Raw genomic sequence first — 27,541 nt, forward strand, 5'->3', positions numbered from 1 at the left:
ACCCAGCACTCAATAAAACCTGTGGGCTGGATGCAGGATGCCTCAGTTTACCCCAGAGGAAGCTGAGGCCTAGAGAGACAAGGTCACTTGCCCTAAGGCAGGAACCACTGTGTAATTTGTGGGGCTCAGTGGAAAACGAACATGTGAGGCCCATTGTTCAATATGTATTAAGAGCATTAAACTGAGCATGGGGCCCTGTGCAGCTGCAGAGGTCACATGCCTGTGAAGCTGGCCCTGCTCCAAGGCCAAATCGTTAAGGGGCAGAGCTGGGATTTGAACCCAGGGAGGCCTGGAGCTGGGGGCATGGTACAGGAGGGTCACCTGGAAACAGGTGGGTGGGTCTGAGTCCCTGGGCCAGGCTGCGGGGCTAGAGCAGAGGGGCAGAGGGCCTGGGTCCTGGCGGGTCCCTCCTCCTGGTGCCCTGGGCAGCGTGTAGTGTTGAGGCCCCAGGGAGTGAGAGTAATCGTATCCAGGGCTGAACGGTGCCCGCTCCAAAAGATACACCTAACCGGAGCCTGTGAGTGGGAATCTGACATTGTTGAAAACAGGATCTTTGTGATGTCATTTTTTTTTTTTTTGAGACAGGGTCTGGCTCTGTCACCCAGGCTGGAGTGCAGTGGTGTGATCACAGCTCACTGCAGCCTTGACTTCCTGGGCTCAAGGGATCCTCCCACCTCCGCCTCCCAAGTGGCTGGGACTGCAGGCATGAAATGCCACCATTCCCTGATAATTTTTGTATTTTTTGTAGGGATGGGGTTTTGCAATGTTGCCCAGACTGGTCTTGAACTCCTGGGCTCAAGAGATCCTCCTGCCTCAGTTTCCCAAAGTGTTGGGACTACAGGCATGGGCCACCGTGCAGCCCCGCAGATGTAATTGAGTTAAGGATCTTGGGATGACATTATCCTGGACTAGGGTGGGTGCTAAAGCAAATGACAGTTGTCCTTAAAAGAGAAGGGAAGACAGAAGAGGAAAGCCATGTGCCACAAGGCAGAGGCTGGAGCTAAGCCCACAAACCAAAGAATGGCTGGTGCCACCAGGAGCTTGGCAGGAAGGAGCCTCCTTAGAGCTTCCAGAAGAAACGAGGCCCTGCTCACACCTGGATGTCACACCTCTGGCCTCCAGAACTGTGAGAGAATAAATTCCTCTTTTAAGCCACCTAGTTTGGGGTCATCTCTTACGGCAGCCCTAGGACAGTAAGACCCCATGTTACAGAGTTCCTGGCTACTTCAAATATGGAGTTAAAATGATTCTCTCTGGGCCAGGTGTGGTGGCTCACGCCTGTAATCCCAGCACTTTGGGAGGCTGAGGCAGGAGGATCACTTGAGGTCAGGAGTTCAAGACCAGCCTGGACAACATGGTGAAACCCCGTCTCTACTAAAAATACAAAAATTAGCTGGGCGTGGTGGCACACGCCTGTAATCCCAGCTACTCAGGAGGCTGAGGCAGGAGAATTGCTTGAACCCGGGAGGCGGGGGTTGCAGTGAGTCGAGATTGCACCACTGCACTCCAGCCTGGGTGACAGAGCGAGACTCTGTCTCAAAAAAAAAAAAAAAAAAAAAAAAGAGTTCTGGCCCCCTAATCCCCATTCCCCAAGTCACCCCCATGCTTGTGTGGGCCTCATCACCTCCAGAGACCCAGGCTGGGCGAGTGGGGGTGGGCAGGGGCCGGCAGCACCAAAGCCAGCCATGAAAAATGGATGGACAAGCCACACTCGGGACAGGCGCTGTTCCAGCACTTAGCACACTTAGCAGCTCTGGGGCCGACAGGAAGACGGTCCTTTTAAAAGCTCCCAGCCCCACGAGCCCTGATCTGGCTGCCTGTGCTTTCACTCGTGAGGGGCCGAGGGTGGGTGGAGGTGGGAGGGCATTTCCCAGGCACTGTCAGGATCTGCAGGGTCTTGGTCTACCTTCCTGATCAAGTCCCGGCCTTGGGCTGGAAGAAAAGTGGTCCCAGAGATACCTCCAGGGGCCTGGTTTCTCCGTCAAAGATGTCCTGACACAATCGCCAAAAGGTGGAAACAACCCAGTGTCCATCGTTGGAGAAGTGGATAAAGAAAATGTAGTCTGTCCACATGGTGGAATATTATTCAGCCGTGAAAAGGAACGAAGCAGTGATGCATGTTCAATGTGGATGAGCCTAGAAAACACCACACTGAGTGACGGAGACCAGACACAAAAGGACAAATGCTGGATGATTCCACTGACACGAGGTCCCTAGAGCAGATTCTTAGAGACAGGAAGTAGAATGGTGGCTGCCAAGGGCTGGGGAGGGAACGGGGAGTTAGTGTTTAACGGGGACAGAGTTTCAGTTGGAGATGATGAAACCTTCATTCTGAAGACGGGTGGGGTGATGGTTGCACAACACTGTGAACGTGCTTAATGCCACTAACCTTGTACACTTCATGGTTAAAACGGTAAGTTTATGTGATATATATTATTTTTTAAAGAAGAAAAGTATCCTCAATGCCTACTTTGTGACAGGCACTGGGGAACTCATGTCTAAGGGAAGAAAGTCCTCAAGTTTCAAGGGGTTAGGCTTGACCCTCTCAACCACTGTCTGCTGCTGAATTAACCTCAGCCACTCACAGATACTCATTCAACAAACATCTCCCCACTCCTCTGTGGGGTCAGCCTGGAGTCTCAGAGGAAGCCAGGTCCTGGAGAGGACGTGGGCTGTTTGTGTCTGTCCGGCATCCCATCCCGCTTAGTAAACGACACCCCGATTTTCACCAGGGGAACCAATCTCTCCGCAAGCGGTGTTGGAGGAGCTGTCAATCAAGATGCACCTCCCTCCAGGCCAAAGGGGCGGGCCTAAGACCTAAACTGGGCCAATCGGATGCTCTCCTGGAGCGGATTCCTCCCAGCCTGGGAATCTGAAGGGTGGTCCATTCATCCCGGCTCCCAGCAGGGGCCTTTTCACGCCTCCTTACTTCACTTTTCCTGTGGGCTCCCCTCGGCTTTCCAGTAAATTCCTTGTTAACCAGTATCCGCTTCTGTAGCTTGCATCTAAAAGCCCTAAGCCTGCCTAAACCCAAAGGATGGGCTACAGAGCCTGGTGAATTTGACGAAGGAAATAGTACAATTAATTAAGAGCAGCCACCGCCAGAGTGTTCCAGGCCCTGCTCTCGTGCTCCCGGTGACCTGAGACGGGTCCGCCATGATCCCCATTTTACTGATAAGGAAACTGAGGCCCTTGATCTAGGTCTCACAGAGGCATTGGTGAGGCCACAACTCACACCATGCAGGCTGATCCCAGGCTTGGCTCAGCTCCCAACCACCTCTCCAGGTGGGTAGGTGGCCTCTGCCTGGAAGGGGCTGCTGGGGTCAGGTAGGTGGCCCCGGGGCAGGCTAGAAGCTTGGCACTCACACCACTGGCCATGGGACACCTGGAGCCAGAGGCGGTCTCAGGCAGCGGGGCCGCAAGTCAGACCAGGGGCCGCCCACGTGACTCCCAGGTTTTTGGCTGGGGAGAACAAAGCAACTGTCACCAAGGTAAAGAAGAGGGGCAGCAATGGACTTGGGATGGGAGGTTTCCTGCAACATTGGTCTGAGGTGCCCCAGGGCCATCCACACACAGGACAGAAGTCTGGGCTGCCTTTGCTAACACCCACAACACCCTTCAGTGGTTTTGTGTCCTTCTAGAACTTTCTCCCGCTGGCCTTCTCTCCTACCACCTGGACGCTGGACCTCCTGTCTGGGTGATAACAGGCCCCGGGTGTGTCCTTGGGAAAGCAAACAGCCCAGCATATGCCTGGCTCCTTCGCAAAGGCCTCCTCCTCCCTCACTCTCCACAGCCTGGGATTAGGCACCCTGAGGGGGAAACTGAGGCCCCAAGGCACTGCCACCTTCCCAGTCACCCACTGCTAGTGAAATAGAAGGCCTGGAGGGGTGCTCAGAGTCAGGACAAGCATTTTTAGAGCACCTGCTGTGTACAGGACTGCTTTAAGGGATGGTGCCCTGCTCCCTCTGCAGGGCAGAGGGCTTCAACTCCCCTCTCTCCTGCCCCCCAACCCAGCACCCCCTCTGCCATGAGAGCTGGTGGGGGCAGAGCTTCAGGCCTTACCTTTCAGGCAGGACATCTTAAGCCCCATGTCGGCACCTCTGCAGGCCTGTGGAGAGAGGACAGCGCTGAGAGAGGGGAGGGCGCGACTTGTTTGTATTGGCCACGTGCAGCCGGGCCCCCACCCTTGGCCCTGATGAGTGCAAAACAGGAGGTTGTGGTGGAGAGAAACCACCGGCCTCCAGGTCATGCCACCTGTCAACTACATCTGGGCTGGATTTGCTCAAAGATGGAGTCTGTGACGGTGGAAAAAACTTACGGGTGCCTCAAAGTTAAATATACAGGAAGCCAAGGCGGCGTCTGCAGCCCTGGCTCTGTGAGGTCACTTGAACCCAGGAGGCGGAGGCTGCAGTGAACTGATGATGGGGAACCGACACCACCAAGCCTTTCCTTTCAAGAGCCACAGGACGGCCGCAGCTGCAGAGATGTGAAGACCTGCCAGCAGGGCTCGGGGGTGGCCCAGAGGCCCCCATGGCCATGTACCTCCCGTTCTAATGCTTTTTTTTTTTCCCCTAATGCAGGTTCTTTGGAGATCTGACAGCCTGAGCTATAGAGGACGTGTGGCCCCCCCAGCCCACGGGTATTAGAATTGTCCCAACCAGTGTTCTCATGATGTTCCTGCAACATGAGGCATCCCGAGTTCTAAGCAATTGAAAAATAGAAGCAGCAGCCAGTGGTGCGGGGCCCCTGCATGCTCTTGACACTCACTCCTCAGTAACAGCCCCGCAAGGTACTATTACTGTCCCCACTTCACAGACACAAAAATCAGGGCTCAGAGAGGTGGCGGCACCTGCCCAAGGCTACCAGCTTACTAGGGACTGTGGAGCTGAGACTCGAACCCAGGACTGTCCTAATCCCTAGGCTGGGGCCCCACCCCACAGGGGCCTGTAGTGTGCAGAGATCCAGAGGAAGATAAAGCAACAGTCCGTGGGAGGAACCCCAGGGGATGGGAGGTCAGGCAGGAACAGGTGGGGAGAAGCCGAAGATGGGTGGGACCTGGGGTTTCTGGGGCTGGTTTGGAGTTAAGAGCTTATTCTGAGGACGCCAAGGAGCAAGTCTGCTTTCTAGAGGGGTGTGTGGCTAGTACCTGTGAGGAGACCCCAGGCCTGGCCCTCATGTGCAGGCTGTTGGTGGATTGGTAGCATCAGCAACCCGGAGGCTGGGGAGCAAGGCAGCAGCTCAGGCCCACCCAGGCGCACAAGGCCCCAGGGATTCCTGTGCCTGCTGAGGTCAGAGATGCTTGCTCTGGGCCAGAAATCGGGGAGGTGAATGTGAAGATGGCAGGCCAGGAAGGGTTTGGAGGAGAAGGAGCTGGAAGTCCAGGTGGAGCTAGTAAGACATGGGTGGGAGATACCACCAAGACATAGACCGGGGCCTTGGGAAGGGAGGGAAAGCGAGAGATACTGATGGGAACAGGCTTGGGCCAGCTGCGTATGAAAGGCAGCCATTCCAACTTACGAGTGGTCTCTGGAGCTTCCCCATTGCACTAGCTGGGCCAGGTCCCAGCTTGGCAACTCCCAGCCATGTGATCACGGATAGTTTATCTCAAGACTTCACTTTCCTCATCTTTAAAATGGGATGAGCTGGCCGGGCACAGTGGCTCACGCCTATAATCCTGACACTTTGGGAGGCCGAGGTGCGTGGATCAGGAGTTCAAGACCAGCCTGGCCAACATGGTGAAACCCCATCTCTACTAAAAATAAAAAAATGAGCCAGGCATGGTGGTGGGTGCTTGTAATACCGGCTACTCAGGAGGCTGAGGCAGGAGAATCACTTGAACCCGTAGGTGGAGGTTGCAGTGAGCTGAGATCGTGCCACTGCACTGCAGCCTGGGCGACAGAGTGAGACTTCATCTCGAGAAAAAAAAAAATGTAAAAAGGGGTGAGGCACATAACAGTCTCATTGAGCAGCAGCGAGAACTGAGTGTGGGGAAGTGATCTGTGCTGGGGACAGAGGAGAAGTCCGAACAATGTCAGCTGCTGCTGTCCCTCCTGACAGAGAGGGAGGGAAAGGAGGTCGAGGTTTCCAGCTAGGCCTTTTATCCAGGGCCTTGCTGTTCCCAGAATGGCCCATGGAACAGCAGCACAGGCTTCCCGGTAGCTGTGCATGCAGAGTCTCAGGCCCTGAGCTGGCCCTGCCCACTCAGAACCTGCATCCACACTACAGCCAAGAAGAGCTGGGCACTGCAGCCTCCGCACATCACCCAGGAGCTTTACAAAATACCTTTTCTTCCGGATTAGGTAACTCGCACCTGTCATCCCAGCACTTGGGGAGGCTGAGGCATGAGGATCACTTGGGGCCAAGAGTACAAGACTAACTTGGGCAACATAAGAAGACCCTGTCTCTATAAAACAAGCTTACGCCTGGGCGCGGTGGCTCACGTCTGTAATCCCAGCACTTTGGGAGGCCGAGGTGGGCAGATCACCTGAGGTCAGGAGTTCGAGAGCAGCCTGGCCAACATGGTGAAACCCCATCGCTACTAAAAATACAAAAAATTAGCTGGGTGTGGTGGTGGGTGCCTGTAATCCCAGCTACTCATGAGTCTTGGGCATGAGAATCTCTTGAACCTGGGAGATGGAGGTTGCAGTGAACCAAGATCATGCCACTGCACTCCAGCTTGGGCAATAAGAGCGAAACTCCATCTCAAAAACAAAAAACAAAGAACAAGCTTGTACAACCCGCAGCCCTCCAGCTGCCTGCAGCCCAGGGTGGCTTTGAATGTGGCCTAACGCAAATTTGTAAATTTTCTTAAAACATTATGAATTTTTTTTGTGATTTTTTTTTTTTTTTTTTTAGCTCATCAGCTGTCATTAGTGTATTTTATGCGTGGTCCAAGACAATTCTTCTTCCAGTGTGGCCCAGGGAAGCCAAAAGATTGGACACCCTGGCTATAAAACATTTTTAAAAAATTAGTCAAGTGTGGTGGCCTGTGCCTGTAGTCCCAGCTACTCAGGAGGCTGAGGTGGGAGGATCACTTGAGCCCAGGAGGTTGAGACTGCAGTGAACCTTGATCGTGCCACTTCACGCCAGCCTGGGTGACAGCAAGAGCCTGTCTCTTAAAAACAAAATGCTGCTTGCTGCCTGAGCCCCACCCCCAGAGATTCTGGGGCAATTGGTCTGGTGTGTGGCTGGCATTGGGATTTTTTTTTTTTTTTTGAGACAGAGTCTCACTCTGTTGCCCAGGCTGGAGTGCAGTGGCGTGACCTTGGCTCACCACAACCTCCACTTCCCAGGTTCAAGTGATTCTCCTGCCTCAGCCTCCCGAGTAGCTGGGACTACAGGCGTGCACCATGACACCCAGCTAATTTTTTTTTTTTCATTTTTAGTAGAAATGGGATTTTGTCATGTTGGCCAGGCTGGTCTCGAACTCCTGACCTCAAGTGATCCACCCACCTCGGCCTCCCAAAGTGCTGGGATTTCAGGTGTGAGCCACCGCGCCGGGCCCGGCACTGGGATTTTTAAAAGCTCCCTGCAGGACTCTCACATGCAGGAGAGAGAATCCTTCCCTATGGGAGGAGTGAGGGGTAGCGGAGGAGTGGGGCTGGGGCTGAGGGACGGAGGGCCCAGGCCTGTGGGAGCGACAGGCACATTTCCTGGCACTCACCATGGGCCCGGCACTGTTCAGAGCCCTTTATGTGTATTCATGGTTAGTGAATCCTCACTATAACCCCATGAAGTTGGGACCGTTCCTGTCCCCATCTCACAGGAAACAGGCACAGAGAAATTAGTTAACTTGCCTAAGGTCATCTGGGTAGCAAGTGACAGAACAGGGATTTGAAGCCAGAACTTTGGACTCTAGAGCCCACGCTTTTAGTGACCAGGCAGACCTGGGAAGTCTTGGAGTCCCCAGGGGACAGAGCTTCCAGGAACAGGGGAGGGCGGAGCAGACCTCATCTCCATCCCTCATCAATTGTGCCCATGCTGGCTCTCCTGCCGCCAGCCTTGCCAAGGGGTCCTGCAGCCCTGACGTCAGGATCAACCACAATAAGCCAGAGGGAAAGCTGCACAGAGCCCCAGGGCCTCTGCTGGCCAGGCTTCCCAAACCTCCCTGGACTGTGGCTGCTGGTAAGCCAGACTCGACATCCCAACCAAGCGCAGACCGGCCCTGCACAAAGTACTCGGATTTTATCATCTATTCCCTTTTATCCTGTCTTTGTTCAGCATTGATCACAGCCCACCCGGTGGATTTTGACATGTCTCAACCCAGGGTTTGAAAACCAGTGATCTGTACAGAAGTTCTCACAGAAAGAATGATGTCTGGAATTTGCTGTAAAATACTTCAGTAAAACAACAACAACAAAATGCTGTGGGGCACAGGGAGGCGTCACCATGAGAGCAGCGGGATGCTGTTTACTGTTGAGACTGGGAGATAGGAGAGCATGACATACTGGTGTGTTTGTTTGAAAAGTAATGACCAGCCTGGGCAACATGGCGAAACCCCATCTCTACAAAAAAATACAAAATTTAACCAGTCATGGTGGTGCATGCCTGTAACCCAAGCTACTCAGGAGACTGAGGTAGGAGGATCGCTTGAGCCTCCTTGAAGTGGAGGCTACAGTGAGACGTGATGGTGTCACTGCACTACCTGGGAGACAGAGCAAGACCCTGTCTCAAAAAAAGAAAAGAAGTAATAAAACAGTCAGAAGAGAAACAACTGTATTTTAGGTGACAGTCTGGGGTCAATATTAAGTTTTCTGATTCTGATTATTGTACTGTGTTCTGTAAGAAATGGTCCTTGCTCGGCCGGGCGCAGTGGCTCATGCCTGTAATCCCAGCACTTAGGGAGGCCGAGGCGGGTGGATCGCCTGAGGTCAGGAGTTCGAGACCAGCCTGGCCAACATGGTGAAACCCCGTCTCTACTAAAAATACAAAAATTAGCCAGGCGTGGTGGCAGGCACCCGTAATCCCAGCTACTCGGGAGGCTGAGGCAGGAGAATCGCTTGAACCCAGGAGGCAGAGGTTGTAGGGAGCCGAGATCACGCCATTGCACCCATAGGCTGGGCGACAAGAACGAGACTTTGTCTCAAAAAAAAAAAAAAAAAAAGAAAAAGAAATGGTCCTTGCTCTTAGAAAATATACACTGATGGCCAGGCATGGTGGCTCACGCCTTGTAATCCTAGCACTTTGGGAGGCTGAGGAGGGCAGATCACCTGAGGTGAGGAGTTCGAGACCAGCCTGGCCAACATGGTGAAACCCCATCTCTCTACTAAAAATACAAAAAATTATCCAGGTGTGGCCGGGCGCGGTGGCTCACGCCTGTAATCCCAGCACTTTGGGAGGCTGAGGTGGGAGGATCACGAGGTCAGGAGATCGAGACCATCCTGGCTATCACGGTGAAACCCCGTCTCTACTAAAAATATAAAAAATTAGCCAGGCGTGGTGGCGGGCCCAGCTACTAGAGACGCTGAGGCAGAAGAATGGCGTGAACCCGGGAGGCGGAGCTTGCAGGGAGCCGAGATCGTGCCACTGCACTCCAGCGTGGGGCACAGAGCGAGACTCTGTTTCAAAAAAAAAAAAAAAAAAAAAAATTATCCGGGCTTGGTGGCGGGCATCTGTAATGCCAGCTACCTGGGAGATGGAGGTTTTAGTGAGCTGAGATTGTGCCACTACACTCCAGCCTGGGCAAGAGAGTGAGACCCTCAAAAAAAAAAAAAAAAAAAGAAAGAAAATATACACTGACGTGTCTGGGCTCAAGAGTCATCATTTCCGTAACTTAACTCTCAAATTGTTCAGCAGGAACATAGTGATACGCATGAATACGTGCAGGGAGAGATGAGGACACGCGTGTAGGTAAATGTTCATTTCTGGCGAAGGATATTTGCAGGGCCTCTTCATATTCTCACAACTCTTCTTTAACTTTGAAACTGCTTCAAGAAAAAGGCTTAAAAAGGAAAGAAAGGCAACATCCAGAAGAGACAGGGCAGCTCAGTGAGAGTCTGCGCAATGCCTGGCCTCCCCACCATGGTCTCCCAGGGCAGGATGCGGGCGGCAGCATGTGCGTCAGATCGCGTTTTCCTGCTAGCAGCTTCTACAGCTTGGTGGAGATGCGTTCCTGGGGCCAGGCTCTGGCCGAGCAAAGGATCTGTATTATGCCGTGCCAGGCAGCACCACCTCCCTGAAGAGGTGTCTGGAACTGACAGGTTTTCTCTGAACAGCTGTCTTGCAATTTGAAAGACCCCTACCTCAAAACACACAGGGGAAGGAAGGAAGGCAGGGAGGGAAGGAGGGAAGAAGCAAACCAGAGGATGGGGGACCAGGAGCAGCTCCAGCCAGGATTCAGGTGACACTGGGGGCAGGATGCAGTGAGGGTCAGGCAGGTGCAGCATCGAGGGTGGTCACGTCCACATATGGCAATTTGATGTGGGGTGTGTGGAACTCCCACGTGGAGAGTTTTCACACAGCAAGTTTTCTCATCTCCCACAGTGTCCCTGAACTTGCCCTCATTGTCATCCTGCTTCTGCCTCCCTCCAAGGACAGCACAAAGGCGGCAGGCACAGGACTGGCTGAAGGGACAAGAAAGAATTGGGAGTCTAGAGGAGCTGTGCCACCTCAAGCAGGTCATTTCCCGAGTCTGAGGTGCTGGGGCTCGGTCCCCCAGGTTCTGTGTCCTCCTCTGCCAAACAGGCATTGAGCCACCAGCCTCCAGGACAGGGCCTGGGACAGAGTTGTCACCATCATCTTCATCATCATCATTGTTCTCATCATTCTTATTGCTATAGTTTGGATATTTGTCCCTTCCAAACCTCATGTTGAAATTTGATTCAGAACACTGGGCCTGATGGGAGGTGTCTGGGTCATGGGGCAATCTCTCATGAACAGCTTGCTTGGTGCCGTCCTCACAGTAATGGATGAGTTCGCTCCCTATTGGTTCCTGCAAGAGCTGGCTGTTAAAAAGAAGCCTGGTGGCTGGGCGTGGTGGCTCACGCCTGTAATCCTAGCACTGTGGGAGGCTGAGGTGGCTGGATCACTTGAGGTCAGGAGTTTGAGACCAGCCTGGCCAACATGGCAAAACCCCGTCTCTACTAAAAGTACAAAAATTAGCTGGCTATGATGGTGCATGCCTGTAATCCCAGTTACTCAGGAGGCTGAAGAATGAGAATCGCTTGAACCTGGGAGCCAGAAGTTGCAGTGAGCCGAGATCATGCCACTGCACTCCATCCTGGGTGACAGAGCGAGACTCCGTCTCAGAAAAAATAAAAGAGCCTGGCACCTTCCCTGCTTCCCACTTGCTGCCACCCTCTCGCCACATGATCTCTGTGGCTCCCCTTCACCTTCCGCCTTGAGTGGAAGCAGCCTGAGGCCCTCACCATCCTGGCGCCATGTTTCTTGTCCAGCATGCAGAACTGTGAGCCAAATGAAACTTTTTTTTTTGGAGACACACTTTCACTCTTTTTGCCCAGGCTAGACTGCAATGGTGCGATCTCGGCTCACTGCAACCTCCGCCTCCTGGGTTCAAGCGATTCTCCTGACTTAGCCTCCCGAGTAGCTGGGATTACAGGCATGCGCCACCACACCCGGCTAATTTTGTATTTTTAGTAGAGATGGGGTTTTTCCATGTTAATCAGGCTAGTCTTGAACTCCCAACCTCAGGTGATCCGCCTGCCTCAGCCTCCCAAAGTGCTGGGATTACAGGCGTGAGCCACGGTGCCCAGCATGAACCTCTTTTCTTTATAAATTATCCAGCCTTGGGTATTCCTTTGCAGCAACACAAATGGACTAAGACAGGTGTCACCTCACTACTGTTGTCATCCTTGTCACTGTCATCATTGTTGCTGCCACCTTTACCATCATCATCCTCATCATCGTCATCAGTGTGATTGCCACTAGGTACCACCAGGGCACCCCCACTACGTGGCCCCAATTCCACAGTGTGGCCTGTTGTGTTGGGGGTGAATTTATGTGGGAGTGTGGAGAGCCCTGTCCACTCCCTTTGAGATCTGGGGCCAGCCTCCTGCAGAGACCACAGATGCTTTCATGCGAGAGGCCCCTTAGATGAGCTGAAATGTCTGAGAAGGAGGAGTTACAGCTTTGATTCTACATCTGTCTGAATAGAAGCCATACAGTTGTCTAAACATAGGGAAGAGCCACTGTTACCTTAAACTTTATCATCATCGTCATGACAATATCAGCTGATAGATATCCAGCTGTTTTCAGTGTGCCAAATTCTGGGCCAAGTTTGCTATAAAAACGATGCCACTGAACCCTAACAATGCCCTAAGAGATAAACATTATCACCATCCTGTTTTATAAATGAGGAGCTGGGGCTCACAGCTGTCCAGCGACTCCCAGCACCCAGGGCTAGCAAGCTACAGCTCTGGGCTGCCAGACACTAAAGCCAAGCCCACATCACTGCACTGGGTTGCAGTGTTCTATTCCACACGCCAGAATTCTAGATTGTTTGAGTTTGTTACAAACACACGTATCTTTGTAACTAGAAAATAAAGATTTAAGGCCGGACGCAGTGGCTCAAGCCTGTAATCCCAGCACTTTGGGAGGCTGAGGCGAGCAGATCACCTGAGGTCAGGAGTTCCAGACCAGCCTGGCCAACACGGAGAAACCCTGTCTCTACTAAAAATACAAAATTGGGCTGGGCGCGGTGGCTCACATCTGTAATCCCAGCACTTTGGGAGGCCGAGGCGGGCGGATCACGAGATCAGGAGATCGAGACAATCCTGGCTAACACAGTGAAACCCCGTCTCTACTAAAAATACAAAAAAATTAGCCGGGCATGGTGTTGGGCGCCTGTAGTCCCAGCTACTCGGGACGCTGAGGCAGGAGAACGGTGAGAACCCAGGAGGCGGAGCTTGCAATGAGTCGAGATTGTGCCACTGCACACCAGGCTGAGCGACAGAGCGAGACTCCATCTCAAAAGAAAAAAAAAATACAAAATTAGCCGGGCATGGTGGTGCATGCCTATAATCCCAGCTACTCAGGAGGCTGAGGAAGGAGAATTGCTTGAACCTGGGAGGCGGAGGTAGCGGTGAGCCGAGATTGCGCCATTGCACTCCAGCCTGGGCAACAAGAGCAAAACTCCGTCTCAAAAAAAAAAAAAAAAAAAAAAGAAAAGAAAAGAAAAAGAAAATAAAATAAAGATTTAATGGGAGAAAAAAAGATTTAAGGCAAGGATACCCTTAGCTTGGCATGATGGTATGGGAGCAGTTGGGCCCAAAAGAACTGCTAGTTTAGGTATAAATGTTCTATCTTTTTCACACATTTGCAGGGGTGTGAAAAACTTCCGTTTCATATTGAATTGGGCTCTGTTTATGTTCCCGTTGAAATATCAGATTGTTAATTATTTGCACAACAGCTTGAAGAAGAACAGGTTCTTTCTTGCACCCAGGCATAAAAATCTCCCTGTCAGCAGCCAGATGCGGTGGCTCATGCCTGAAATCCCAGCACTTTGGGAGGCCAAGGCGGGCGGATCACGAGGTCAGGAGATCGAGACCATCCTGGCTAACACGGTGAAACCCTGTCTCTACTAAAAATACAAAAAATTAGTCAGGCATGGTGGCAGGCGCCTGTAGTCTCAGCTACTTGGGAGGCTGAGGCAGGAGAATGGTGTCAGCCCACGAGGCAGAGCTTGCAGTGAGCCGAGATCGTGCCACTGCACTCCAGCCTGGGCAACAGAGCAAGACTCCATCTCAAAAAAAAAAAAAAAAAAAAACTCTCCGTCAGCCGGGTGCAGTGGTTTACGCCTGTAATACCATCACTTTGGGAGGCCGAGGTGGGCGGATCACCTGAGGTTGGGAGTTCAAGACCAGCCTGACCAACATGCAGAAAGCCCATCTCTACTAAAAATACAAAATTAGCCAGGCATTGTGGCGCACGCCTGTAATCCCAGCTACTCGGGAGGCTGAGGCAGGAGAATCGCTTGAACCTGGGAGCTGCAGGTTGTGGAGAGCTGAGATTCCACCATTGCACTCCAGCCTGGGCAACAAGACGAAACTCTGTCTAAAAAAAAAAAAAAAAAAAAAAAAAAAAATCTCCCTGTCGCCAAATGGTCACGGATTCTCTCTGGTGACAAGGATGGGCAATGGGCAATTATAAAAACTGACTTCCTCGGCAGAGGTCCACCCCCTCCTGAGGGGTGGCAAGACAGACAGACATCAGATGTCATGCATGCCACACAGCTTCTCTAAGGCCAAGAGCATCTCCAGGGACAGGTCCCACTTCCATGTTGGCTGTGTTTGTTTTTGCAACAGCCTTGAAGGCAGGTGCCACAAATTACCAGCTCACAACAGACTGCTTGTCAGCTTGCCCTCTACAGATTTTCAGTGCAAACAGAAAAGCAAAATGATGTGTTCTTTCATAAAGTCAAAAGCAACCAAGACATAGCACTGACTGTGAGGGACAGAAACTCCTGCTGGCTGGAGGGACCCTGCTTTTCAAAGACAGAGAATCTCCCGCTGGCTGAGGGACCCTGCTCACTGCCTACCAGAGACAGAATCTCCCGCTGGCTGGAGGGACCCTGCTTTTCAAAGACACAGAATCTCCCGCTGGCTGGAGGGACCCTGCTTTTCAAAGACAGAGAATCTCCCGCTGACTGAGGGACCCTGCTCACTGCCTACCAGAGACAGAATCTCCCGCTGGCTGGAGGGACCCTGCTTTCCAAAGACACAGAATCTCCCGCTGGCTGGAGGGACCCTGCTTTTCAAAGTGGGCTCCAACGTTTGCCGATTCCCTTCAGTTACCACTTGTGTGGATCACAGAAGTTCAGCTCTAGGCTATGAGATAAACCCATCCTGGAGAGGCTCATAGAAATCTAGAGCTGGAAGTGGTCAGAGAGAGATGGCCAGGTAAAATACAGGATGCCCAGTTATTGCATGGGACACACTCATAAAAACTATTCATTGTTTATCTGCAGTTAAACTTAGCTGGGGCTGGGTGCGGTGGCTCATTCCTGTCATCCCAGCACTTTGGGAGGATGAGGCGGCAGGCAGATCACTTGAGGCTGGGCGTTCAAGACCAGCCTGGCCAACATGATGACACCCCGTCTCTACTAAAAATACAAAAATTAACTGGGCATGGCAGAGGGCGCCTGTAATCCCAGCTACTAGGGAGGCCGAGGCAGGAGAATCGCTTGAACTTGGGAGACAGAGGCTGCAGCTAGTGGAGATCGCGCCACTGCACTCAAGCCTGGGCGGCAAGGTGAGACTCGCCTCAAACAAACAAACAAAAACAACAACAAAAACTTAGCTGGATAACTTAGTTATCCTTGTGTTTATCTGCTGAATCTGACCACTCTATTCAAGGTCATCTGATTTCTAACGTCTGGCTGTCCCAGATGGGGACCTGGAGAACTAGACAGGGAAAGTGAATGAACTGGTTCCTGCAGAGCCACCTCCCAGATGAAATCAGAGTAACCCCATGGAGGTCCTGAGTCACGGTGGCACCTTGCCCTGCTTGCCTAACAAAGACCTCCTGGGAGGAGGACCCAGAAGAGGGCAGGGCTGAAGAAGAGTCACAGCTGAAGAATGTGACTGTTTGCCAGGTGAGTGGGCTCCAATCCCAGTGGGGCAGGGTGGTCTCTGAGGCTTGGTAAGCCCCTTCAGCTCTCTGGGCCTGGTCATGCTGCAAGCAGGGAAGAGAGTGCGGGCAAGCGGGGCTCCCAGCAGGCTCACGACACACATGGTGCTTTTCTTCCTTCTTTAGGAAAGCCACTTTCTTTCTGCAGCAGGATTAGAATTCCTACAACTCCAGCCAAAGGAACTGGGTTGGGAAGCGATACTGCAAGCATTCATGTGCTTCCATCCTGGTCTTCAGCTTAGCCACGGTCCTGCGGGGACAGTGAGTCCCTCTCTGAGTGGCCAGGACCTCCACCTGGCCCACAGGAAGCCTTCACCAGCAGGAAGCGAAACAGGATGGGGTGGAGGCAGGAGGCCCACCGAAATCCCCACCTGCTTGGCCTCCCACGGATGAGCCGTGTGACTCACAGCAAAATACTTGCCCATTGCCGACTCTGGGCCACCGTGAAATAATAGAGCTGAACACCTTTAGGATTTGAGCACCTTTCTGTACATTATACATCAATAAAAACATTTATCAAAAAATAAGAGGGCTTTGAGACCAGCCAGAGCAATATGGTGAAATCCTGTCTCCACAGAAAAATACAAAAATTAGCTGGGTATGGTGGCACACACCTGTGGTCCCAACTACTTGGGGGGCTGAGTTGGGAGGATCACCTGAGCCCAGGAGGTTGAGGCTGCAGTGAGCCATGATCATGCCACTGCACTCCAGCCTGGGCAACAGAGAGACCCCATCTCAAAATAAATAAAAGGGGTCTGCTATTTGAAGTCAGGTTAACGGCTACCCATAGGGAAACCATGGCTGGGAGGAGCATGAAGGGATTTCTGGGGGTGTCCTGGGGGGCTGAAGGTCTCTTTCTTGACCTGGTGCACACTTTTGATGTACACTTATTACAATGGGCATATCATCTTGCCCACAAAAAGTATCAAACTGTAAAATATTTGAAGAGATTTATTCTGAGTCAAATGTGAGTGACCAATGGCCTCAGGAGACCCAGAGAATATGTGCCCAAGGTAGTTGGTCTACAGCTTGGTTTTATACATTAGGAAGACACAAGGTATCAATCAGTACATACAAGATATACATTGGTTCCAGCTGGGCGCAAGGACTCATGCCTGTAATCCCAGCACTTTGGGAGGCTCAGGCAGGTGGATCACAAGGTCAGCAGTTCAAGACCAGCCTGGCCAACTTGGTGAAACCCCATCTCTACTAAAAATACAAAAAAATTAGCCAGGTGTGGCACAGGTGCCTGTAATCCCAGCTACTCAGGAGGTTGAGGTAGAGAATTGCTTGAACCTAGGAGGTAGAGGTTGCAGTGAGCTGGTATTGCACCACTGCACTCCAGCCTGGGTGACAGAGCGAGACTCCGTCTCAAAAAAATATATATATATATACATATATATATATGTGTGTGTGTATATATATATGTGTGTGTATATATATATATGTGTATATATATATATATACACATACATACATTGGTTTCATCTGGAAAGGTGGGACAACTGAAGGGGGAAGTACGTGGGATGGGGAGACATGGCTTTTGGGTCATAGGAGGATTCAAAAATTTTCTGATTGGCAAATGGTTGAGAGAGTTATTATCTGGGCTGGGTGCAGTGGCTCACGCCTGTAATTCCAGCAATTTGGGAGGCTGAGGTGAGTGGATCACGAGGTCAGGAGTTTGAGGCCAGCCTGACCAACAGGGCGAAACCCCATCTCTACTAAAAATACAAAAATTAGCCGGGCATGGTGGCACGCACCTGTAATCCCAGCTACTCAGGATGCTGAGGCAGGAGAATCACTTGAGCCTGGGAGGCGGAGGTTGCAGTGAGCCGAGATCACGCCACTGCACTCCAGCCTGGGTGACAGAGCAAGACTGTCTCAAGAAAAAACAACAAAAAAACCCAAAAGAGTTATTATCTAAAGACCTGGAATCCATAGAAAGGAATGTCTGGGTTACGATAAGGAGTTTGGCTTGAGAGAGAACAGATTGTACATGTTTCTTATCAGACTTAAAGGGACTGTCCTATTAGTCTGAAGGTCTGCACTGATGTTAATGCTGGTCTGCGGGGTCTCAATTTCAAAAGGCAAGAGAGTATAATGAGGCATGTCTGACCCCACTTCTCATCATGGCCTGAACTAGCTTTGCAGGTTAACTCTGGAATGCCCTTAGCCAAGGGGAGTGGTCCATTCAGATGATTGGGAGGCTTTGATTTTTTTTTTTTTTTTTTTTTTATTTTATTTTTTTTTAGAGAAAGGAGTCTCACTATGTTGCTCAGGTTGGTCTCAAACTCCTGGCCTCAGGTGATGCTCGTGCCTCACCCTCCCAAAGCACTGGGATCACAGGTGTGAGCCACTGTGCCTGGGCCCCATCATCACTTACTAATCTTTTTAATGATGGGGGATTATACTTAGCAGGCCCAGAGGCCTAGCCTGGCTTCCACTGCAGGTAAGAGCAATTCAGTACCACGGCTCAGGGTTCCAGGCCTGGCCTTGCCATTTTCCAGCCATGTAACCTTGTGTCAGTGACTTTGCCTTTACAAGCTTCTGTTTCCTCATTTTTATTTTTTAATTTATTATTATTTTTTTAAGAGACAGGGTCTCCCTCTGTTGCCCAGGCTGGAATGCAGTGGCGTGATCATAGCTCACTGTAGCCTCAACTTCTTGGGCTCAAGGAAACCTCCCGTCTCAGCCTCCTAAGTAGCTGGGACTACAGGTATGCACCACACCCAGCTCATTAAAAAATTTTTAGTAGCTGGGGGGACTCACTGTGTTGCCCAGGCTGGTCTCGAACTCCTGGCCTCAAGCACTCCTCCTGCTTTGGCATCCCAAAGTATTGCAGCCACAGGCGTGAGCCACTGTGCCTGGCCCTGTTTCCTCATCTTTAAAATGGGGCTGACAGTATTTGGTTGGAGAGTTGGTCAGGGGATTAAAACAGAAAACGCAGGGTCTGGTGCATGAGGAGTGCTCCGTAAGCATGAACTATCAGTGCGCTCTTCTTCAGTGTCCACTGACGGCACGCTCCCATTTCAAGTCTCCAGAGGTGACCTGCACCTTGGGCTGGGAAAATACACTCTACGTGGGTCTGGGGTGCACCCCACCGGCATGGGAAGGCGCTTCCAGGGAGACGAGATTAGGTGGTGAGCTTTCAGCCTCCTTGGGGCTGGTGAGGGATTAAGTGTTTCCATAAATACACGGCCTCCTCCCATCCACAGGACCGGGTCCCCAGCGGTGGGGGCGCAGAACCCAAGGAGGGCGTGGCCTGCACAGGTGAGGGTGCTTTTTGGAGTTAACCCAGCCCAGGACAGGGGCCTCCCCACAGCGTTGGATGGGTGGGGTCTAGGCAGGAAACGCCAGAGCCTGTGACTCAGGGTATCCCTCTCAGAGCCTCAGTTTCCTAACCTGTACATTGAGGCGTTCGTTCCCCGAGAACCGCACTACCTCACAAGTGCCTTTGCCTCGCAGCCTTCCCTTCCTCCCTCTTCCTCCGGGCTCCAAAGCCTGTCGAGCCTGCACAGATTTTCCCTTGATTCCATCTGGGCCCCGCAGCCGGAGGCGGTCTGAGAGAAGTCCCAGCCGCCCTCAGACCCCGCCCTCCGCCTATCCCTGGGGGGAGCTGCGGGTGCCCCTTTTTACTGAGACCTCCCCTAGTTCCGCTCGAGCGCAGCCAGCCAGGAGAAGGAGCGCGTGCGTCCACACGGGTCGCCCTTCGCGGTTGCAAACCTGCTTTGATGCCCTGGGAGCGCAGGGGGGCCCCTAAGTGAGGCAGTTCATAAATAATAGATTTGGAAATACTCGATAGAGTGGAAATGGTTCCTCGGGAGGCCTCCTGCCCCCGCCCCCCGCCGGGCTGCCTTCCAGCTCTCAGGAATGGCGTTCTGGTCCATTCCCAAGGAACTCGTGACGGCGCGGGGTGGCCTGTGGTGAGTGGGGGGCCAGAGGCTTCCGCGCGGGGTCACACCCCCACCGCCGTGCAAGTTGCAGCGCGGCCAGAGCCGGGCCAAGTTTCCCAAAGCCCGTGTCTCCGCAGCAAAGTCTGCAAGAAGTTGGGGGGACGCCCGGGCCCGCGTGGGTCTCCCACCGACCCCCGGGCCGCGCCCCTGCAGCGGCTAGAGCTTGCGAGGCGTGGACGCCGCCCGGCCGGGGCCGCGTTGCTCGGGGAAGGCGGGCGTCCCGGGGAAGGGGCGGCGGGCACGAGGCGCGGGGCACTCACCGCTTCCTTCTTGGTGGGCTCACTGCGGAGCCGCGCCCGAGGCGCGCGAGGCCCGCCCGGGCGCTGGTGGTGGTGGCGGCGGCGGTCGGGCTCGGGGGGCCGCGGCGACGAGCCTGCAAGACAGAGCAGCGGGGGTCATGGCCCGGCCGGCGCTCGGGCAGCCGCGCGCCTCCCGCGGTCCCGCCCCGCTCCTAGAGGGCGGCGCTGACGGCAGCCGCCGGGCCGCGGGCGCCAGGATTGCACGGGCCAGGCGCGGGGCGGAGCGGGCCCGCCCGTCGCCTCCCTGGGGAGCGTGCCAGGACCCGCCCGGCGCCCTCGGCGGCGGTCCCGACCCCTCGCTGCTTGCCTGTTTCCTCCCTCCAGGCCCCGGGCAGTCCCGGGGAAAGTTTGGGCCGCGGCCCGTAGGGCTCCCCACCGTGCGCCCCTCTCCGGGGCTGGGTGCCGGGCTCCCTGAGGCCCTGCACCCCAGCCCTGGGTGTTGAAAAAGGGCACCAGGGTTCCTCCCATACTGGGGGGCCCGGGTTCAGTGGACCTCGCCGCCCGGAAGCGAAGAGGAGAGGCGAGAACAGCCCCCCCGCCCCATCTCGCCGTCTGCAGCCGCCCTCCCCTTGTGCAGGACCCCAGGGACTGGTAGGCAGTGCCCCTTCCCTGTGGCTGCAGCTGTGGGGGTTCCCTTTTGCTCTCCACGCAAGCCTTTGCACCCCACTTCGGGGGCGAACCCTGGGTTGCAGCCTACAAGGAGGTCAGGGCTTGCCTCCTGGCCCCCTGGGCAGCTTCAGGTGTTTGGTGATGACCTTGATGAGCATCAGGGAGAGGAATCCCCCACCTCCCCGCGGTGTGGACACAGAGCTCCCCGCGGTGTGGACACAGAGGTCTTTTGGCCAGATGAGCTTCTTAGGAGGCACACTCCCTCCGTCAGCCCTACCTGTGTGGAGGCCTCTGCAGACACCTGCCCAGTGGGGCAGGAGGAACAGAAAGATGCCTGCCCTGTGCTTTCTATGTCATTGTCACAAGCCTGTGGTACCCTGTCCACCCTACAAGCCCAACGTCTCCACACCCCCTGCCCTATATATTTCTGGAGGCTTAGAAGGGGAAACTGAGTCACAGAGCAGGAAAGTGACATTCCTTTAGTGAATGTGGCAAAGAGTTGCAGGAAATGGAGTCATCTTCCTAGCCGTGTGCTGCTGCTTGAGTCATTCCTAAAAATGGGGCGATCTTTAGGTTCCCCTGACCTTATAGAGTCCAGACTGACAGGCAGGAAATGTATCATGTCCCCCACTCCCCCGCCTCTAACAAAGAGAAGGGGCAGGCCTGGGGCAGGACGTTCCTTCCATTCGTCCCCACCCTCCGGAGGCAGGATGGGACCTGCCGCTGGCCGGTGCTGGGGTGGTGGGCGTGCCCATCAAAGCTGCTGCCCCAGCTGCTGGGCTGGGGGAGGCCTGTGCAGGTGGCTCCCTGCTGAGGGCACATCCCTGGGGAGGGGCTAGAAAGCCAGAAAGAGCTCAGAGGCTTCAGGGTAGGAGGGTTAGGGGGCTCAACAAGCTGGCTGTGGGCAAATCATCATGCCTGGCTGTGTGCCGGCCCTTCGCTGGGTGTGGGGAGGCAGGGACCAGACCTAGGCTTCTGAGGAACTAAGATGGACAAGCCTAGGCGACTAAGAACTGAGGCTCCGGGACCCCACGGCACAGCGTCTCCCTCCTCCATCAGTCACCTCCCAGCCCAGCTGTCCCTGCCCTGCAGCCAGGTTCCCTTTCATGATTGTGCAAAGATTTGATTAATATCTATCTCCCCCGCACTGCCGGTTCCTGCCCATCCCAGGGGATCCCTGTGCCCCAGCCCCTCAGGAGTCAGCGGGTCCCTGGGGAAGTGCAGCACCTCCTGAAGGTCCCAAGGGGCCATTTCCTGGGCTGCTGAGGGTCCTATGTCCTGCTCCTCTCCAGGGAGCTTTGGGGCAGAGCTGCTGTGAACTGTCTCCTCTAATGGTGGCAGCGGAAGTCCCTAGGGATGACAGACAAGCAGTTGCCCTCACCCCTGCTTTCTTGTTCTGGAAGGGTGCAGAAGGAGTGACACTGGTGGAGATCAGCTTGTCTCTGGGCTTCAGTTTCCTCAAAGGAGAACTGGGGATTTACTTATTTATCAGGTTATGTGTTTAACCTGGCGCCAACTGGGCAGGCGGCCCTCACGTCACTGCCTGTTCATGACAACCCTCTCAGGTGTGGGGCCCGAGGCTTAGGGAGGTCACAGGTCCTGGGTCTCCCAGCCAGTGAGGACTGCCTTCTGACTCTGCTCCGTCTCCTCCACTCCTGCGCTCTCCTGCCCCCAGCGGAGACAGGAGCCGCTCATCACAGGGGAGTTTGGCCCAAGCCTCAGCCCTGGGGGAGGGGACGGTGCACTAATGACTGGAGGCCGAGGAGGATGTGTTTTGTCAACTGTACAGACTGAGATGAGGAGTGGAAAGAATCCGGCTGCCTCCTCCCCCAGGAGGCTGCTGCCGTGAGAACAGTGGGTTTACACTCCAGCGTCACTTTCCCAGTGTCTGCGCTGTTGGCATCTGCCCGGTCACCCTTTGTGCTGGGGGGCTGTCCTGCGCCCTGTGGGTGCTGAGAATCTTCCCTGGCCTCTACCTACGAGGTGCCAGGAGAGCCGTTCCTCAAAGTCATGACAACCAAAAAATATCTCCCAACATTGCCACCTGTGCCCTGGGAGCACCATGCCCTTGGCTGAGAACCCCTGAGTATTTTCCAATAGTTCCCGGCCCTGACTGCATGCCAGGATCACCTGGCAAGCTGACAAATAAATAAATAAAAATGAATGAAGCAAATACCCAGGTCCTGGCCTCGCCCCATGGGCTCTGACTTAATTGGCCCAGCTAGGGCCCAGGTATGGGTGTTACGTAAAAACCCCTAGGTGAGGCCAGGTGTGGTGGTTGATGGCTGTAATCTCAGCACTTTGGGAGGCTGAGGCGGGAGGATTGCTCAAGTCCAGGAGCTCGAGACCAGCTTGGGCAACATGGTGAGACATCCCCACACACAACCCCTGCCATCTCTACAAAAAATATAAAAATTTGCCAGGTATAGTGGCGCATGCTTGTAGTTCCAGCTACTTGGGAGGCTGAGGTGGGAGGATTGTTTGAGCCTAGGAGGTCGAGGCTGACCCAGATGATGTTAATAGTTGGCTCTGACAGAGAACTTTGAATCTAGCAGCAGAGAGCCCAGCTGCACGTCACTTTCCTGGCAGCCAGGTGAAGTGCTTGCCAGAGAAACTTGGTCTTGACCTTGGGGTGGGGCTGGTGGCGGGCAGCTGCTAGTGGGGACCCATGGGCTCTGGGAGGAGAGTCCCGCTCAGCAGCCTCACCTTGTCCCACCACCTGGGAAGAGCTGCAGGGAGCACTGAACCTGCAGACCCCGGAGACGAGGCCAGGGCTGTGGCCCCACACCTGCCTGTGATCAGAATCCCCTGGAGTGCGGGGAAAGGCAGGTGCTGGAGGCTGGGATTCTTCAGGTGCGGGGTACAGGATGGGAAGGTAGGCCCCTGACACCAAAGCCCTCTGAGTCCCGTCTTTCCTTCTCAGACCTGGAGACTCGGTCTGCAGAGGAAGTAGGAGAAGAAGAATTAGAGCAATTTCTCCCCCCCGTCTCCCCTTGGGGATTAATGGTTGGGAGAGCAGCTTCCTGTGCACAGTTTGACAAGAGCTCTACACATTTACTGGCGCCCATCAGGCACCACTCCAGGCCCTGAGAATAGAGAGGCTGAGAGAGACAGGCCAAACCCTGCCCCTCATGGGCACCAGAGCCTGAGTGCTACGGGGAAAATGCTTACAGCGGAGGCTATAAAGGGTGGGGGTGGGGAGTCAAAATTGTAGACAGGATGGGCAGGAAAAAGCTTCTGTGAGCCAGTGATTGTAGAGGAAGCCCTGGCAGGTGCAAGGGAGCTGCCCTGTGGGCGTCAGGAGGAAAAGCTCCCAGGAAAGTTCTGGGTTCCGGGTGCAGGATGAGACGAGCACCCCGCAGCCACACCCCACTCTGCAGGGACCTGAGCCCGGGGGCTCCGCATCACCTCCTAGGGGTCCTGCAGGGTGGGGAGTGGGGCTAGCAGGGAGACCCTCTTCCCATTCACAACTCCCCACGTCCTACCAACACGTGGTGCACCTGTGACATTCGGTTTCCTATTCAACAATGGTTTCTTTTCTTTTCTTTTCCTTTTTTGAGACAGAGTCTTACTCTGTAGCCCAGGCTGGAGTGCAGTGGCATGATTTCTGCTCACTGCAACCTCCACCTCCCGGGTTCAAGCGATTCTTCTGCCCCAGCCTCCTGAGTAGCTGGGATTATAGGTGTGTGCCACCATGCCCGGCTAATTTTTGTATTTTTAGTAGAGACGGGGCTTTCACCATGCTGGCCAGGCTGGTCTCGAACTCCTGACTTCGTGATCCACCCACCTCAACCTCCCAAAGTGCTGGGATTACAGGCGTGAGCCATTGCACCCGGCCCAACAATGGTTTCTTAAGCAGCGTGGAGGGTTAAAGGTGGCTGCAGGCCGGACACAGTGCTGAGATCACACCACTGAACTCCAGCCTGGGCGACAGAGTGAAACCCTGTCTCAAAAACAAAAAATAAACAAAGCCAAAAAAACAGACAAAAAGAAGTACAGGGCCAGGCACAGTGGCTCACGCCTATAATCCCAACACTTTGGGAGGCCGAGGTGGGCAGAACACCTGAGGTCAGGAGTTCGAGATCAGCCTGGTCAATGTGGTGAAACCCTGTCTCCACTAAAAATACAAAAATTAGCCAGGCCTGGTGGCGCATGCCTATAGCTCCAGCTACTCGGGAGGCTGAGGCATGAGAATCGCTTGAACCCGGGAGGCGGAGGTTGCAGTGAGCCGAGAACATGTGACTGCACTCCAGCCTTGGTGACAGAGTGAGACTGTCTCAAAATAAAAAAAAAAAAAAGAAGTACAGGCTCTGGGGAGACAGGCCCCAGGAGTGGGGTTGGCGGCAAGGGGACAGGCAGGGACACCCCATCCATGCAGGAGGCTCAGCCTGTGGCTCTGCAGCCCCTGCTCTGAGATGCCCCCTCCTCATGCCCCACACCGGCCTCCTGAGTGTGTCCCCAAACACCGGCGCCCTCTATCCCCGCCCCCCACAGCTCTGCCTCCCTTAGGGCCAAGGGTTCCTCTTGCAGCAGCGGGAGCTGAGTCTCTCACCACTGAGCCCTATGCCCGGGCCCCTGGCAGGCACTGGTTTATTGAGCAGCATCAGCGTGGGGCCCAGGGACGTCGGAACAGCCTCTGCCTGAGATTTCAGACGGATGGAATGAACCTCACTTTGTCTTTCTGGGAGCAAACGTCGGGGAGCGAGGTGGCAGGGGATCTGGAATCCCCTGACCTGGGCTGAAGCCTCGGCAGCCCCTCACGGGCTGTGTGAGACCTTAGCGACATCATTCGGCCTCTCTGAGTGTCAGTGTTTCACCCCAGCATGGGCTGAGGAGAACCACTCAGAGGACCGCTGTGAAGATGGAGTGAGCGTGAATGTTAATTCACCATGAAGTCGAGGGAACCAGACGAATCATAGCTAGTGTTTGTGGTGAGCTGCCTAAGTTCCAGGCACTGCTTCAAATACAAACTTTGCATAGAGTTCTGAGGTCAGTACTATTTTGATTCCCCTTTTGCAGATGAAGTGACTGATGCATAGAGCGGTGTCCTCACTTTTGCCCCAGGTGAGTGGGGGTCAGAGCCTGGGTTCCCGCTAGGCAGTCTGATTGGGATTCTCACCGTGCTGTCCCTCAGTGGACATGGATCAGAGTCACACACAGTGGCCACCCAGGTGTTAAAGGGACGACAGGAAACAGACTCAAGCCCAGGCTGTTGTACCTAGCACAAAAAGCGTCTCCCAACAGAGGGGAAGTCCCAAGAATAGTTGGCCACATCATCAAAATAGCAAGACCCTGTCTTAAAAAAAAAAAGGCTCGGGAGGCTGAGGCAGGGAATAGCTTGAACTAGGAGGCAGAAGTTGCAGTGAGCTGAGATCGCGCCACTGCACTCCAGCCTGGGTGACAGAGTGAGACTCCCATCTCAAAGACAAAAACAAAAACAAAAAACCCCAAAACCAAAAAAAACCCCCAAAAGACTGGGCTGGGCGCACTACCTCATGCCTGTAATCCCAGCAATTTGGGAGGTCAAAGTGGGAGAATGGCTTGACCTGGGAGTTCCAGACTAACTTGGGCAACACAGGGAGACCCTGTCTCTACAAAAAGTAAAAAAGTAGCCAGGCATGGTGGTATGTGCCTGTGGTCCCAGCTACTCGGGAGGCTAAAGCAGGAGGATCATTTGAGCCCAGGAGGTCGAGGCTGCAGTGATCTATGACTGCACCACTGCACTCCAGCCTGGGCAACAGAGCGAGACCCTGTCTCAAAAACAAAAACACCACTGGGCAGAAGATTTCAGTAGATATTTCACCGAAGAAGATATACAAATGGCCAACACACACGTGAAAACATGCTCAACATCATTAGTCATCGGGGAAATGCAAATCAAAACCACAGTGAGATCCCATTTCATACACACTAGGATGGCTGTGATTTTTTAAAAAAAGAAAATAAATATTGGTAAGGGTGGGTAAGAATGCTTAAATTACTGCTGGGAATGTAAAATAATACAGCCACTTTGGGAAGCAGTTTGGCAGAATCTTAAAAAGTTAAGCATTTATTTACCATGCGATCCATCAATTTCACTTCAGGTACTAGCCAAGAGAACACATGTTCATATAAAGACTTAGACACTCATGTTCACAGTGCTTGACTCACAGTAGCCACAAATGGAAACAACCCAACTGTGGGTTGTGGGTCAACGAATGAACGGATAAACCAAATGTGGTCCAGCCAGATGATGGCGGGTGTCTTTGTTTTTTTGGGAAGACAGGGTCTCACTCTGTCACCCAGGCTGAAGTGCAGTGGCATGATCTTGGCTCACTGCAGCTTTGACCTCCCAGGCTCAAGTGATCCTTCCACCTCAGCCTCCTGAGTAGCTGGGCCTGCAGGCATGCTGCACCACCACAGCGTTTTGTATATAAAAATACAGTAATTTTTGTATTTTTTTGTAGAGATGAGGTTTCACCATATTGCCCAGGCTGGTCTGGAACTCCTGGGCTCAAGTGATCTGCCCGCCTTGGCCTCCCAAAGTGCTGGGATTATAGATGTGGTCACCCGTGCCAGGACTACGATGGAGTATTATTCAGCCATAAAAGAAATAAAGTGCCGATACATGCTACAATGTAGATAAACCTCAAAAACATTATGCTTAAGGAAGCCAGTCACACAACACTACATACTGTATGGCTCCATTTGTATGGAATGCCCAGAACAGGCAAGTCCTTAGCAACAGAGAACAGATGGGTTGTTACCTGGGACTGGGGCTGGGAAGGAGGAGAGCCTGCAAAGGGGCAGAGAGACCTGTCAGTTCACTGAAAGTATTGAATCGAATACTTAAAACAGGTGAATTTTACGACATGAAAATGCCTCCTTGCCAGATGCACTGGCTCACGCCTGTAATCCCAGAACTTTGGGAGGCCAAAGTGGGCAGATCACGAGGTCAGGAGTTCGAGACCAGCCTGGCCAACATGGTGAAACCTCATCTCTACTAAAAATACAAAAATTAGCTGGACATGGTGACACACTCCTATAATCCCAGCTACTCAGGAGGCTGAGGCAGGAGAATTGCTTGAACCCGGGAGGCGGAGGTTGCAGTGAGCT

The 27,541-nt window shown here is 53.6% G+C and overlaps 1 protein-coding gene and 1 non-coding gene across 5 annotated transcripts in view, besides 9 other annotated features; both read right to left on the reverse strand.

Moving 5' to 3' along the window:
- The window catches only part of C16orf74 (chromosome 16 open reading frame 74), a 43,580-nt gene extending 23,611 nt beyond the window's left edge, over positions 1-19,969 (reverse strand). For all 4 annotated transcript variants that reach the window (NR_161453.1, NR_161454.1, NR_161452.1 and 1 more), the window contains exons 1-2: positions 19,799-19,969; positions 4,063-4,108 (exon numbers count right to left, since the gene is read on the reverse strand). Coding sequence is in view for 1 of the 4 variants with exons in the window: in NM_206967.3 (NP_996850.1) it covers positions 4,063-4,090 (28 nt within the window). In the remaining 3 variants the exon portion in view is untranslated. The remainder of the gene's footprint in view (positions 1-4,062; positions 4,109-19,798) is intronic.
- Positions 4,379-4,588: an enhancer, noted in NCBI's record as "active region_11282". NCBI's record gives its function as "activates an Ori minimal core promoter by ATAC-STARR-seq in GM12878 lymphoblastoid cells {active_cell/tissue: GM12878}" and the evidence as "EXISTENCE:reporter gene assay evidence [ECO:0000049][PMID:35858748]".
- On the reverse strand, positions 10,494-10,573 carry MIR1910 (microRNA 1910). Its single transcript, NR_031731.1, has one exon. It is a non-coding gene; the product is annotated as a microRNA 1910 (primary transcript).
- Positions 15,492-15,541: an enhancer, noted in NCBI's record as "active region_11283". NCBI's record gives its function as "activates an Ori minimal core promoter by ATAC-STARR-seq in GM12878 lymphoblastoid cells {active_cell/tissue: GM12878}" and the evidence as "EXISTENCE:reporter gene assay evidence [ECO:0000049][PMID:35858748]".
- Positions 15,842-15,921: an enhancer, noted in NCBI's record as "active region_11284". NCBI's record gives its function as "activates an Ori minimal core promoter by ATAC-STARR-seq in GM12878 lymphoblastoid cells {active_cell/tissue: GM12878}" and the evidence as "EXISTENCE:reporter gene assay evidence [ECO:0000049][PMID:35858748]".
- Positions 15,992-16,061: an enhancer, noted in NCBI's record as "active region_11285". NCBI's record gives its function as "activates an Ori minimal core promoter by ATAC-STARR-seq in GM12878 lymphoblastoid cells {active_cell/tissue: GM12878}" and the evidence as "EXISTENCE:reporter gene assay evidence [ECO:0000049][PMID:35858748]".
- Positions 19,268-19,327: a silencer, noted in NCBI's record as "silent region_7819". NCBI's record gives its function as "represses an Ori minimal core promoter by ATAC-STARR-seq in GM12878 lymphoblastoid cells {active_cell/tissue: GM12878}" and the evidence as "EXISTENCE:reporter gene assay evidence [ECO:0000049][PMID:35858748]".
- Positions 19,338-19,387: a silencer, noted in NCBI's record as "silent region_7820". NCBI's record gives its function as "represses an Ori minimal core promoter by ATAC-STARR-seq in GM12878 lymphoblastoid cells {active_cell/tissue: GM12878}" and the evidence as "EXISTENCE:reporter gene assay evidence [ECO:0000049][PMID:35858748]".
- Positions 19,878-20,307: a silencer, noted in NCBI's record as "silent region_7821". NCBI's record gives its function as "represses an Ori minimal core promoter by ATAC-STARR-seq in GM12878 lymphoblastoid cells {active_cell/tissue: GM12878}" and the evidence as "EXISTENCE:reporter gene assay evidence [ECO:0000049][PMID:35858748]".
- Positions 25,041-25,340: an enhancer, noted in NCBI's record as "active region_11286". NCBI's record gives its function as "activates an Ori minimal core promoter by ATAC-STARR-seq in GM12878 lymphoblastoid cells {active_cell/tissue: GM12878}" and the evidence as "EXISTENCE:reporter gene assay evidence [ECO:0000049][PMID:35858748]".
- Positions 26,481-26,530: an enhancer, noted in NCBI's record as "active region_11287". NCBI's record gives its function as "activates an Ori minimal core promoter by ATAC-STARR-seq in GM12878 lymphoblastoid cells {active_cell/tissue: GM12878}" and the evidence as "EXISTENCE:reporter gene assay evidence [ECO:0000049][PMID:35858748]".

The sequence above is a fragment of the Homo sapiens genome, chromosome 16 (genome assembly GCF_000001405.40).
Source record: "Homo sapiens chromosome 16, GRCh38.p14 Primary Assembly".
In the NCBI taxonomy this organism is placed as follows: domain Eukaryota; kingdom Metazoa; phylum Chordata; class Mammalia; order Primates; family Hominidae; genus Homo; species Homo sapiens.